Source organism: Homo sapiens, chromosome 8, assembly GCF_000001405.40.
Source record: "Homo sapiens chromosome 8, GRCh38.p14 Primary Assembly".
Lineage (NCBI taxonomy): Eukaryota > Metazoa > Chordata > Mammalia > Primates > Hominidae > Homo > Homo sapiens.
Window position 1 is genome coordinate 47,531,124 of NC_000008.11, and position 14,919 is coordinate 47,546,042.

Here is a 14,919-nt window from a genome sequence, read left to right on the forward strand (position 1 = left end):
TAGCCACAAGTGTTCTTCCCACCTTGGCCTCCCAAAGGTATTACAGGCGTGAGTCACTGTACCCAACCTTTTTTAAAAACTTGTAAAGTTTTTTTGCTAAAAATGGAGATACACAAACATTAGCCTAGGCCTACATGGGGTCAGGATCATCAATGTCACACTGTCTTCTACCTCTACAACTTGTCCCACTGGCTGGCCTTCATGGGCAGTAATGTGAATGGAGCTGTCATTTCCCATGACAACAATGCCTTCTGGAAAATATCCTGAAGGACCTGCCTGAGGCTCTTCTTGAGGAGATGTCATTCCTTTTAGAAATATATCCATGGTAGATCACTTGGTTTGTTGCTTTATCATCATAGATTTGCTTATAAGCAGAGAATACACCGTGAACATTCCTCAACATTAATGAAAACCTTTTGGTACTGGGGTTTGTGTTTTCAGAAGACTTTTTAAGGAGCCTGTTGAGGTCTGTAAAAGCTTCTGCTAAACCCTTCAGTGAGAATTTTCTTGGGGATTCTACTTCTGTTTCTTCTCCTGCAGTTTCCTTTTCTCTTACCTCTTCTTCCGGTATGCATTTCTGTTCCAGTTCCAAGAAAGTCTTATTAGTCAATTTCTCAGGACAACATTACTAGGCAGTAAGAATCTTTCAGCTCCATGATAAACTTACGGGACCACTGTCATATATGCAGTCTGCCATTTACTGAACCACCATTATGTGGCATACGACAAAAATTATTACATTAAGAGAAGAAAAAAATAGAATCATATAAAATGGCCAATTAAAACTATAGGCAGAAAAAGAGTAGAATACAATAACAGAAAGACAAGGGCAAATAATAGAAGACAGTAACAAATAGTAGATATCAGTCCTGCTGTATCAATAATTGCTTTAAAGATCAGTGATCTGAACTCTAATTAAAAGACAAAGATTGTCAGAGTGGATTTTTTTTTTTTTTTTTTTTGAGACAGTGTTTGGTTATTTTGTTTCCCAGGCTGGAATGCAATGGCGCGATCTCGGCTCACTGCAACCTCCCCTCCCAGGTTCAAGCAATTCTCCTGCCTCAGCCTCCCACCTTGCTGGGATTACAGGCATGCACCACCATGCCTGGCTAATTTTATATTTTTAGTAGAGATGGGGTTTCTCCATGTTGATCAGGCTGGTCTCGAACTCCCGACCTCAGGTGATCCACCTGCCTTGGCCTCCCAAAGTGCTGGGATTATAGGCATGAGCCACCACGCCTGGCCCAGAGTGGATTTAAACAAAAATAAAACTCAACTACAAGTTGCCTATAAGAACCTCATTTTAAATATAAAAACACAGATAGGGATGCTAACATTGATCAACAGAAAGCTGGAGTACCTATATTAATTTCAAACAAAGCCAATTTTAGAGCAAGAAAAATTATCAAAGATAAAGAGGGAGTATTACATAATGAAAAAGGATCAGTTCTCCAAGATGGCGTAACAGCCCTTAATGTGTATTTATGTGACAACAGATTTAAAACACATAAGGCAAAAAACTGATAGAACTGCAAAGTAAAACAGACAAAACCACTATTACAGCTGGAGACTTCAACACTCTTTTATAAGTAATTGACAGATCCATCAGGCAGAACTCAATAAAGGCATTGTTGAACTGAACAACACAATCAACAGAATCTAATTTACATTTATAGAATACTTCATTCAACAGCAGCAGAATATACATTCTTCTCAAGCTCATGCAAAACATTCACCAAGGCAGACCAAATTCTGGACCATAAAACACATCTTAGCAAATTTAAATGATAGGATCATACAGAGTATGTTTCAGACCATAATGGAATTAAATTGGAACTCAGTAACAAAATACTTGGAAGTTAAACAGTACACTTCTAACACACATCAAGAAATCCCAAGAGAAATTTAAAATATTTTAACAAAGTGAAAATGAAAATACAACATAACCAAATTTGTAAGTTTCAGTGAAAGCAGTGTAAAGAAAATTTATAGCATTGAATGTACACAATAGAAAAGAAAAAATATTTAAATCAGTAAATCTAAACTTCCACTTTAGGAAACCAGAAAAAGAAGAGTGAATTAAATCATAAATAGAAGGAACAAAATAATTTTTACCAATAATTAATAAATAAGATAATAAAAATTCTCAACTCAAAGTGGATTAAAGAATTAAATGTAAAATCCCAAACTATAAAAACCCTGGAAGACAACTTAGGCAGTACCATCCTCGACATAGGAATGGGCAAAGATTTCATGACAAAGACACCAAAAGCAGTCACAACAAAAGCAAAAATTGACAAGTGGGATCTAACTAAACTAAAGAGCTTCTGCACAGCAAAAGAAACTAGAAGGAGTAAACAGCCTACGGAGTGGGAGAAAATATTTGCAAACTATGCATCTGACAAAGGTCTAATATCCAGCATCTATAAGGAACTTAAACAAATTTACAAGAGAAAACCCATTAAAAAGTGAGTAAAGGACATGAATGGACACTTCTCAAAAGAAGACATACATGTGGCCAACAAGCATATGGGGGAAAAAAAACCTCAACATCACTGATCATTAGAGAAATGCAAATCAAAACCACAATTACATACCATCTCACACCAGTCAGAATAGCTATTATTAAAACGTCAAAAAATAACAGTTGCTGGCGAGGCTGCAGAGAAAAGGGAACCCTAATACACTGTTGGTGGGAGTGTAAATTAGTTCAGCCATTGTGGAAAGCAGTATGGTGATTCCTCAAGGGGCTAAAAGCAGAACTGCCATTCAACCCAGTGATCCCATTACTGGGTGATAAGGTTTGGCTCTGTGTCCCCACCCAAATCTCACCTTGAATTGTAATAATCCCCACGTGTCAAGGGCGGGACCAGGTGGAGGTAATTGAATCATGGGGACCATTTTTCCTGTGCTGTTCTAGTGATAGTGAGTGAGTTCTCATGAGATCTGATGGTTTTGTGAGTGACTGGTATTTCCCCTGCTGGCACTCATTCTCTCTCCTGCTGCCCTGTGAAGAGGTGCCTTGCACCATGATTGTAAGTTTCCCGAGGCCATCCCAGCCATGCAGAACTGTGAGTCGATTAAACCTCTTCTCTTCATAAATTTCCGAGTCCTGGGTGTTTGTTCTTAGCAACATAAGAACAGACTAATACACTTGGTATATGCCTAGAGGAATATAAATCATTATACCATAAAGACACATCCATGTGAATGTTTATTGCAGCACTGTTCACAATAGCAAAGACATGGAATCAACCTAAATGCCCATCAACAGTAGACTGGACAAAGAAAATGTACATATACACCATGGAATACTATGCAGCCATAAAAATGAACAAGATCATGTCTTTTGCAGGAACATGGTTGGAGCTGGAGCCTATTATGCTTAGCAAAGTAACACAGGAACAGAAAGCCAAATACCACATGTTCTCACTTAAAAGTGGGAGCTAAATGATAAGAACTTAAGAACACAAAGAAGGAGACAGCAGACACTGAGGTCAACTTGAAGAGGGAGGGTGGGAGGAGGGAGAATAGCAGAAAAGATAACTGTTGGGTACTGGGCCTAATACCTGAGTGGTGAAATAATACATACAAAAAACCCCCATGACCCATGTTTACCTATGTAACAAACCTTCACATGTACTCTCAAACCTAAAATAAAGGTTAAAAAGAAAAATTAGGCAGAAATTAATGAAATCGAAAACAGGAAATTAGAGAAAATCAACAGAAAAAAAAAGCTGGTTCTTTGAACGATTAATAAAATTGATAAATGTGGAGCCAGATTAAGAAAAAAGGAAAAAAGACAGAAATTACTAATATCCACAGTGAAAGAGTGACCATTACTACTGATCCCATAGATACTAAAAGGATAATAAAGTAATATTTTGGAAAACTCTCTGCCCACAAATTCATTAACCTAGTTGAAATAGACCAATTACGTGAAAGACACACTCTACCAAAACTCGCACAAGGAGAAACAGATAATCTGAATAGACCTGCATTTATTAAAGAAAATCAGTAATAACCTTTCCAAGCAGAAAGCACTGCTGGGTTCACTGGTAAATTCTACCAAACATTTAGGGCAGAAATTATACCTATTTTCTGCAATCTCATCCAGAAAATAGAAGCAGAAGGAGTACTCTATAATCTTTCCCAGAAAATAGAAACTTAAGGAAACACTTAAGCACTAAGTGCAGGAGCAAGACAAGGAAGGATGCCCTTTTCACCACTCACAGATTGTGAGGGATGAAATAAAGCTGTCCTTATTTGCAGATAACAAATAACTAATTCTATGAGACCAGTATTAAAAATCAGGCAAAGACATTATAAGAAAGGGAAACTTAAGGATCAGTGCCTCTCATGAATGTAGATACATAAATAGTTAACAACATGTTGACAAATCAAATCTAACACATATAAAAAGAATTATCTACCCTGACCAAGTTTACCATTCAAAAAACAATTAATGTAATCCATCACACCAACAGGCTAAAGAAGAAAAATCAAATCTTATGAATAGATGGAAGAAAAGGATTCGACAAAATCCAACACCCATTTTTTGATGTTAAAAAAAAATAGTCAGCAAACTAGCAATAGAAGACACATCCTCAACTTGTTAAAGAACCTCTGCAAAGAAACCTGCAGCTGACATCATACTTAATGGTGAGAAACTAGATGTTTTCCCACTGAGAGCAGGAGCAAGACAAGGAAGGATGCCCTTTTCACCACTCACAGATTGTGAGGGATGAAATAAAGTTGTCCTTATTTGCAGATAACGTGATTGTGTATGTAGAAATTCCAGAGAATCACCAAAAAATTCCTGAACCTAGGATGTGATTATAGCAAGGCTGCAGAATATGTTAATATGTAATAGTCAGTTACTTATATACTAGCAATGAACAATTAGAGAATAAAAACAATGCCATTTACATTTGCATCAAAAAAATCAAACAGGTATAATCTAAAAATATATATATATATAAGATCTACATGAAGAAATGTACAAAATTCTGATGAAGAAATCAAAGAAGAGCTAAACAGGTATTCCACGTTCATAGATAAGAAGACTCAATGTTATTAAGATGTCAGTTCTTCCCAACTTGATTTGTAGATTCAGTGTAATTCCAATCAAAATGCCTATAAGTTATTTCATGGTTATCAACAAACTGATTCTAAAGTTTCTGTTGAAATGCAAAATACCTACAATAGCCGACTCAATACTGAAAGAGAACAAAGAGAAGTGACATTATCCAACTTCAAGAATTATGGTAAGTAATCAAGGCAGTGATACAGGAAAAAGAATAGCCAAATAGGTCAATGGAACAAAATATAGAACAAGAAATTGACATAAATATAGTCAACTGATCTTTGACAAAGAAGCAAAGGATATTTAATGGAAAAATAATCTTTTCAAGAAATTGTGCTGGAACACCTGAACATCTACATAAAAAAGAATGAATCTAGACACAGATCTTACACCAAAAAGTAACTCAAAATAGATCATAGACCTAAATGTAAAATGTGAAACTATAAAACTAGAATATAAGATAGAAGAGAATCTAGATGACTTTAAGTTTGGCAGTGACCAAAGGCACTATCTGTGAGAGAAAAAGTTTACAAGATGAACTTTGTTAAAATTTTTAAATTCTGCTCTGTGAAAGACACTGTTAAGACAATGAAGACAAGCCATGGACATATCTTGTAAAGAACTTGTACTCAGAATATACTAAGAACTTTTAAAACTCAGTAAGAAAACAGACAACCCAATTAAAAAATTAATAAAAGCTCTGAACAGACAACTCATTAAGGAGATGTACAGATGGCAGATAATCACATTAAAAGATGCTTGACATCATGTGTCATCAGGAATTGCAAATTGAAACAGCAATGAGATACCACTAGACATCTATTAGAATGGCTAACAGTCAAAACACACAACACCAAATGTAGGGAAGGATATGGAAGAACAGAACTATCATTCATTGCTGATGGAAGTGCAAATTGGAACAGCCACTTTGGAAGGCACTTCAGCACTTTGTTACAAAAATACACATATTCTTACCATATGATCCAGCAATTGCACTTTTTGATATTTATCCAAATAATTGTTGAAAGCATGCCTATACAAACATGAGCATAAATGCTTATAGCAGCTTTATTCATAATTACCAAAAACTTGGAAGTAACCGAGATGTCTCCAGTAGGTGAATGGATAAACATACTGGTGCATATTCATCCACACAATAGAATATTACTCAGTGACAAAATGAAATGAGCTGTCAAGCCATGAAAAAACATAGAGGAACCTTAAATGCATATTGCTAAGTGAAAGAAACCAATCTAAAAAGGCTGCATGCTGTATAATTCTAACTGACATTCTGGAAAAGGCAAAACTATGGAAATAGTAAAAAGATCCATGGGGTTTAGAGGGAGGGAGAGATGAATAGGTGGTGGACAGGGTATGTTTAGAGCAGTGAAACTTCTGTATGATACTGTAATGGTGGACACGTGTCATTATGCATTTGCCAAAACCCATAGACCTGTACAACACGAAGAGTGAACCCAATGTAAACTATGAACTTTACTCAATAAGGTGTCAATATTGGCTCACCAGCTGTAATAAATGTATCACATTAATGCAAGATGTTAATAGGGAAACTGAGATAGGTGAGAGGGTATATGGGAACTCTCAGTATTTCTGCTTCATTTCTTCATAAACCTAAAGCTACTCTAAAAATTAGTATATTAATTTTTTAAAGAATGAAAAAACAGGGCCAGACATGGTGGCTCACACCTGTAATCCCAACAGTTTGGGAGGCTGAGGCGGGCGGATCATTTGAGGTCAGGAGTTCGAGACCAGCCTGGAAAACGGTGAAACCCCATCTCTACTAAAAATACAAAAATTAGTCAGGCGTGGTGACTCGCGCATATAATCTCAGCTACTCAGGAGGCTGAGACAGGAGAATTGCTTGAACCTGGGAGGCAGAAGTTGCAGTGAGCCGGGATCGTGCCACTGTATTCCAGCCTGGGCAATAGAGCTAGACTCCGTCTCAAAATAAAAATAAAGAAAAAATAGGAGTTCCCAGAGGTTGCTGAGAAGATTAACTTTGGAAGGAGAAAATACTATGAAAATAAATTAAGGCTGGGCGTGGTGGTTCACGCCTGTAATCCCAGCACTTTGGAAGGCCAAGGCAATAGATCACCTGAGGTCAGGAGTTCGAGACCGGCCTGGCCAACATGGTGAAACCCCGTCTCTACTAAAATACAAAAATTAGCTAGGGTGTGGTGGTAGGTGCCTGTAGTCCCAGCTACTAGGGAGGCTGAGGCGAGAGAATTGCTTGAACCTGGGAGGTGGAGGTTGCAATGAGACGAGATCATGCCACTGCACCCCAACCTAGACAACAGAGTGAGACTCTGCCTCAAAAAAAAGAACAAAGTAAGTAAATTAATGTTCATTGTCAGACACTGCTGTTTTTCTTTCTCGGTTTTGAGCAGCTTTATTCTGGTCCAAGTAATTATATTTAATATTTGAGTTTTCAGGTTTTGCCTCTATAAATTTGATATAGCTCTCTGTCTTGCTTTATAAAATAGAGAGTAAACCAAAGCCTTCAAAAGGAAATTTATATAAATTGAATCATATTTTTCTCTTTATGAATAGATTTATTTGTTTCCAATAATAAGGGCAAGAAATGATTATTGTGGGATATTTGTTTTGGTTTTGCCTTTTTTCTTTTCTTTTTTTTTTTTTTTTTTTTTGAGACAGAGTCTCACTCTGTCACCCAGGCTGGAGTTCAGTGGCACGATCTCGGCTCACTGCAACCTCCGCTTCCCAGGTTCAAGTGATTCTCCTGCCCCAGCCTCCCAAGTAGCTGGGATTACAGGCACCTGCCACCACGCCCAGCTAATTTTTGTTTTTTTAGTAGAGACGTGGTTTCACCAGGTTGGCCAGGCTGGTCTCGAACTCCTGACCTCAGGTGATCCACCCGCTTCAGCCTCCCAAAGTGCTGGGATTACAGGCATGAGCCACCATGCCCGGCCTATTGTGGGATATTTGAAAAAAATGCTGAGAGATGTGATAGATAAAGAGACTAGAAACTACCCGTTACTGCACTAGCGGAGATTAACCTTTTTAAAAATGTATTAAGATTTTATATACTGGTAATTTTTTCCTTATCAGCACACCATCATATGTAAGTCCTTTCTTACATCATTAAAAGGCACAGAAGAGACGGTGGGTATGCAGTGCCCAGAGCGAGGCCACCTCCCTTAGCCAGACAAGGACCACACAGGGCCCATCCTACCTGGGGCTCAAGGCAGTGCTGAGACTTTTCAATGTTATTAATTGTTATTTTATTTCACTTTAGAAGATAAATGACATCTCATTTTAATTTGCATTTTTTAAATTAAAGAGATTGAACACTTTTTCAAGCATTTCATATGTCCTTTTTGGTGGTTTTTCTGGCCATGTCCTTTGGCCACTTGACTGTTATTCTGGTGTTTTTCTAATCCACTCATGTAAATGCTTTATAAATCAAGACTCGTGTCCAAGAGGGGACAGTATTCAGTCCTGGGAAGTGGGGTTTGGTGCATACCTGACAATCTTAAGGTCCTTCACTTTTCTTCTTAAAAAAAAAAAAAACCCTTTTCCCAAGGGATGCTATCAGGTGTTGGTTTGAGTGCTTGTTGTGAGACCTGCAGCCTTGTTAGGACTGTCTGCTAGCAGCTGGGTTCCTCTCTCTCCATGGTGGGAAGCTGGCCTGGCCTTTCTAGTGCATGGATTATGGATTGGACTGGCTTCCTTCTTATCCTAACCCAACTTTTAAAGAAAGAAGTAAAAATATTCTGTGGCCCTGAGAGACAGCAAATAAGAGGAAAAGGGAAGCACAGTTTTGCTGAATTTATTGCTCCAAGTTGACTGTATTATTCCCCCACATTATGCTTGATAGGAGGTAAATAAACCCTTGGAACTTGTGTAGTTCACAGTTTGAGGGACTCTGCTGAGACAAGGTTTGAATCCTAAACACTTTTTTGAATAATATCATAAGAAGGTTATAAGGCTAATTTAGGACCAAAACTTCCAATGAAACAGAAGCAATAAAATTGTTCTCGCGGTTTCTCCTTTGATGGAGAGTGTGTAGGCCAGCCTGAAGCATAGGGGAAAATAAATATTGATGTCATCCAAAAAGAATTTGCTAACTTTTTATATTCAAATAAGTGAAAAAGAAAGTAAAATTGGTTATTTTAACTTACTTTTGAATTTTATTTAAAAAGTATCCCTGTTACTACAGGATGATATTTTTTGAAAACTTATTTTACCAGGAAAAGCATTCAAAAAATATATAATTGCAAAATGACAATAAAATATTTTGACCCTCTTTTAGGCAGTCCCTAGCCCTCTTCTGCCCCTGTGGCCAGCCTACCAAGGCTGGGCATTGTCTCCTCTTAGGAACTTTCTCTAACTACATCTTTAGTTTAGAAGACTATCTTCCAAGGCATGCTTCTAATCTGAATGATTTACAGTATTGCCAGTACTACTTACCACCCTCTGTGGTCATTTTCTTCTTCGTTTTCTTCTTGTCTTTCCCCCCATTGCCCCTAGATAGGTAGTCAGCTTTAAGTCAGGGCCTGTTTTATGAAACTTTGTGACTGGGACATAGTAGGTATTCATGAAATAACTATTAAGTGAGTTAATGGATAATGGAATTTTTCTGATTTTACTTTATTGAAAAAACAGTGGTTTTAATTAACACTCTTGTTTTGAGCGTCTCACTCTGTTGCCTAGGCTGGAGTGCAGTGGCGCGGTCTCAGCTCACTACAACCTCTACTTCTCAGGTTCATGCGATTTTCCTGCCTCAGCCTCCCAAGTTGCTGGGAATACAGGTGTCTACCATCACACCTGGCTAATTTTTGTATTTTTAATAGAGGTGGGGTTTTACCATGTTGACCAGGCTGGTCTTGAACTCCTGACCTCAAGTGGTCCGCCTTCCTCGGCCTCCCAAAATGCTGGGATTACAGGCACGAGCCACTGCGCCCAACCAATTAACACTCTTAAAAGAACATACTACCAACCTGTCTTTGTACTGAATTATTTACATGAATTATCTTATTCAATCTTCACAATAATCCTAACAGTTAGAAATTGGAGCCATTTTTGTTTTACAGGTGAGGAAACTTGCTCATGTCTATACCACCAGTAAGATGCTGAGCTGGGGCTCCAGCCTGGGTCTTTCTGACTCAGACACTTGCTTTTCACCACAATAGTGTATATATCTTCCCATGGGAAGGGAAATACTTTTGAAACAGTTTAAAATATAGTGAATAGAAGAACTTTTAAAACTTACTGTATTTAGTAGGTGATTTTCCTTTATGTTAATGCTAGCAACACTCAGAATTAGGCCTGTGGCAATTCTTGCACATTTCACATAAAAGCTCAGAAATATAGTAGTTTTATCTTATTTTTACAGTAATTATCAATTATTAGAAGAAAATATGGGCTGGGCACAGTGACTCACACCTGGAATCCCAACACTTTGGGAGGCCAAGGCAGGTGGATCACCTGAGGTCAGGAGTTCAAGACCAGCCTAGCCAACCTGGTGAAACCCCATCTCTACTAAAAATACAAAAAAATTAGCTGAGTTTGGTGGTGCACACCTGTAGTCTCAGCTATTCGGGAGGCTGAGGTGGGAGAATTGCTTGAACTCGGGAGGCTGAGGTGGGAGAATTGCTTGAACCCGGGAGGCTGAGGCTGCAGTGAGCCGAGATTGCGCCACTGCACTCCAGCTTGGGCGACAGAATGAGACTCCATCTCAGAAAAATAAATATGTTTATACTATACTTACCTAATCCACATGCATACACATACTTCTATCTGATCTTTACTGAAAGTCCCCCAGGCACATTCTGGAAACCCCAGTCAAATCAGTTAAACACATGCACTTGCTGTCTCTCCTGATCAAATGAAGGTCTACAAAGTCTCAAGAAGAAACTACAGCAAAGTTAATTAAGGAAGAAGATTTCTGTAAGCAACGTCGTCTTAACTGTCATTTTCTTTTTTTTTTTTTTTAATCTTTGTCTAACATCCCCATGTACACCAGAGATTAACTTTCATTTTCTAATGACTAAGATTGTGAAAGAGAAAATTCTGGGCTGGGTGGGTGGTTGCCAACCATTTGTTACTTTATGGGTACCTGGATGAGGGTTGTGGTGAATGTAACCAGAGGCAAATCCGAGGAGACCCTGTGAATGCCCAGAGTTGCGTGAGTGACTGGAGAGTGATAAGGGATCAGAGCAGAGATTTCTGAAGGGGGAAAGCTGACGTTAAAGAAGACTTACCGCTCCCTTGGAATACCTGTCCCACTGGTTTCTAATTCAGATTCCACACAGTAGCTAAGGATTTTTTTTAAAAAAAGTAAATCAAAGCACTTCCCCTGCTTGAAAATCTTTCAGTTAATGTATACACCTGGAGCTGATGAGAGGCATCCAAGTGCAGAGATTTTTAATTAAACTTTTTATTTTGAGGTAATTGTAGATTCGCATGCAGTTGTGAAAAGTAATACAGAAAGATCCTATGTATCCTTTACCCAGTTTCCACTAAGGGTAATATCTTGCAGAACTGTCATACAATGTAAAAACCAGATCTTGTTATGAATGTAGTCAAGATATAATAGTTTCAACACCAAAGGATCCTTCCTGCCACTCTTCATAGGCATACTATTTTCTTCCACCCTGTCACCCTCCAGAACCCCTAGCAATTGCTAGTCTACTTTATGTTCTTATTATTTTGCATTTCAATAATGCTATGGAAATGGAATCATATAGTTTGTAACCTTTTGAAATTGGCTTTTTTCACTTGGGATAATTTTCTGGAGATTCATCCCAGTTGTTGCATGTATAAGTAGTTACTTTTTACTGCAGAGTGGACGTCCCTGGCATGGGGGTATATCAGTTTGTTTAACTATTCACCCATGGAAGGACGTCCAACTTTTATGAATAGTGCTGGTATGAACATTTGTCTACAGGTTTTTGTGTGAAGGTAAGTTTTCACTTTTCTGGGATAAATACCCAAGAGTGCAATTGCTGAGTCCTATTGTTGTTGCATGTTTAGTTGTTTAAGAAACTGCCAAACTGGTTTTTAGAGTGGCTATTTCATTTTACATTGCCACGAGTAATGTGTGAGTGATCCAGTTTCTCCATACCAGCATTTGATGTTGTCACTATTTTTAAATTTTTATTCTGATAGATAGATAGTGATATCTCATTGTGGTTTTAATGTGCATTTCCCTAATGCTTGTCAACTGAAGAATCATGAGGTTCAAAAATTTGGAAAGGAGAGCTTTATTTCTCATAAAGGGTGGCACACTGCTGGCTGGGAAATGCAGCCTTTGGCAAAAGCTGAGAACAAGCAATTTAAGAGAGGAAAGCCTAACACAGGTATTTATGCCCAATGGGTTGGCTAAGTATACATATTCAAATTTAGCTATAGAAGGAGTCATGAAGATTTATGAAAAAAGCACAACTGAGCTTCATGCCTCTTCATAGGTCACATGTTAAAAAAATGATGGCATTAGCATGATCCAGGGGTGGAATTTTTGGCCCTCTGGCATCAAAAGGTGAAACAGAGGACCTGAAAACCCTCATAGCACATCCTCTGCTAGTCAGTTAGAACTGGTCCAGAGATATGGTGGTCAGTTTTTAGGAAGGGATGCATTGTCAAGCTGGTGGGCTGTCACATCAAAACTTCAAAGAGGGAGAGGGAGCCTGGTTTTGGCCTCAGATAATTGGCTGAAGGCGATAAAGGAATGAATCATCTGTTTCTTGTTTTCTGGAGTTGGTTTCCGCTTACTCCTTAGGGAAGAATTCTGGTTAAAGGTTAATAAGGAAGGAGCATACTGAGGCGTAACCAACCTCTTATCCTGTCATGGCCCAGGACTTTGTTTTTTAGGGTTTCTCTGTGGTCCCTTTGGCCAAGAGGGTTCTGTTCAGTTGGTTGGGAGGCTTAGGGTTTTATTTTTATTTTGCATGCTAATGGCATCAAGCATCTTTTCATGTGCTCATTTGCCATTTATTTATTCTCTTCAGTGAAATATGTGTTCTTGTTTTTTGCTCATTTTCTAATTGGATTGTTTGCTATTTTATTGTGAAATTTTGAGGGTTCTTAATATATTCTGGATACTAGTCCTTAATTGCAATCTCTGGCTTATATTTTTCATATCTTCTCAACAAGGTCTACCAGAATAAGTTTTAATTTTAATGAAATTCAAATTACCAATTTTTCCTTTTATGAATTGTGTTTTTGATGTCACGTCTAAGAACTCTTCACGTAGCTGTAAATCCAAAAGATTTTCTCCTGTGTCATTTTGTATTTAACTCTATGATCTATTTTGAGTTACTTTTCATATAAGGTGTGAGACTTAGGTGGAAGGTTTTGGTTTTTCTGTTTTTTGCCTGTGGGTGTCCAATTTCTCCACCATTTGTTGAAAAGGACTTCTTCCCTTCAATGAATTGCTTTTTGCACCTTTGTCAAAAATCACATAGATCTATTTCTGGGTGTTCTGTTCCGTTGATCGTTGTGTGTGTTTCTTTGTACCATCACACAGTCATGACTACAGAAGCTGTATGTCTTGAAATCACGTTCATAGCACTGTATTCTTTTTCAAAATTGTTTTAGCTGTTCTAGTTCCTTTGCTTTGTCATATAAATTTTAGAGTAATTTTATCTCCACAAAAAAATCTTCTGGAACTTCAGTAGGAATTGTGTTAAATGTATATTATTTTGGAAAGAATTGAACTACTAATTATATGACATAATGAAGTCTTTCAGTTCATGAACACAGTATGACTCTTCATTTGTATGATTCTTCTTTTATTTCTTTCATTAGCATTTTGTAGCTTTAGCATACAGCTCTTACAGGTATTTTGTTAGATTTACACCAAAGTCTTTCTTTTTATCTTTTCTTTCTTTCTTTCTTTCTTTCTTTCTTTCTTTCTTTCTTTCTTTCTTTTTTTTTTTTTTTTGTTGAAACGGAGTCTCACTGTCTCGCCCAGGCTGGAGTGCAGTGGTGCGATCTCAGCTCACTGCAACCTCTGCCTCCTGGGTTCAAGCGATTTCCAGCCAATTTTTGTATTTTTAGTAGAGATGGGGTTTCACTATATTGGCCAGGCTGGTTTCGAATTCCTGACCTAAGTGATTCGCCCTCTTTGGCCTCCCAAAGTGCTAGGATTACAGGTGTGAGCCACTGTGCCCGGCCTTTTTTTCTTTCTTTTTCTAAAATTATAAAAAGTGTTGTTTTTTAAAATTTTGGTGTCCATGTATTCTAGTTTGCTAGTATATTGAAATATAATTGATTTTTGTGTGTTGATTTTTGTGCCCTGCAGTTTTGCTGAACTCATTTATTAGTTTTAGAAGTTTTTTGTAGATTCTTTCATAACTTCTCCATAGGCAATCATGTCATCTGTAAATAGGTTTAGTTTAATTCTTGTTCTCTGATCTGTATGCCCTTTCTTTCCTTTTCTTGCCTTATTGCACTGGCTAGAACTTCCGGTACTACACTGAATAGCAGAAGTGAGAATAGACATTCTGGCTTGTTCCTAATCTTAGAGGAAAGTTTTCAGTCTTTCCCCAATAAATATAATATTAACTATAGGTTTTTTATAGATGTTCTCTACCAAATTGAGGAAATTTCCCTCAATTTCTAGTTTTCTGAGAAGTTTTAACATGAGAGGGTGTTTATTTTTGTCAAGTGGTTTTTCTGTACTGATTTATGTGATCATATGATTTTTTCTTTATAATTTAATGTGGTAGATTACATAGATTGATTTTCAAATGTTGAACTAGCCTTGCATCCCTGGAATAAACTCATCTTTGTTATGATGTATATATATTTTTTACATATTACTGAATTTTATTTGCTAAGGATTTTTA

At 37.5% G+C, this 14,919-nt stretch overlaps 1 protein-coding gene across 57 annotated transcripts in view; it reads left to right on the forward strand.

The window, feature by feature from the left end:
- The window catches only part of SPIDR (scaffold protein involved in DNA repair), a 475,429-nt gene that overhangs the window by 270,246 nt on the left and 190,264 nt on the right, over nt 1-14,919 (forward strand). The window contains exon 1 of one of the 57 annotated variants that reach the window (XM_047421652.1): nt 10,996-11,017. The exons of the other annotated variants lie outside the window; for them this stretch is intronic. The gene's annotated coding sequence lies outside the window, so the exon portion shown is untranslated. Of the gene's footprint in view, nt 1-10,995; nt 11,018-14,919 lie in introns of those variants that run through there. 57 annotated transcript variants of the gene reach the window in all.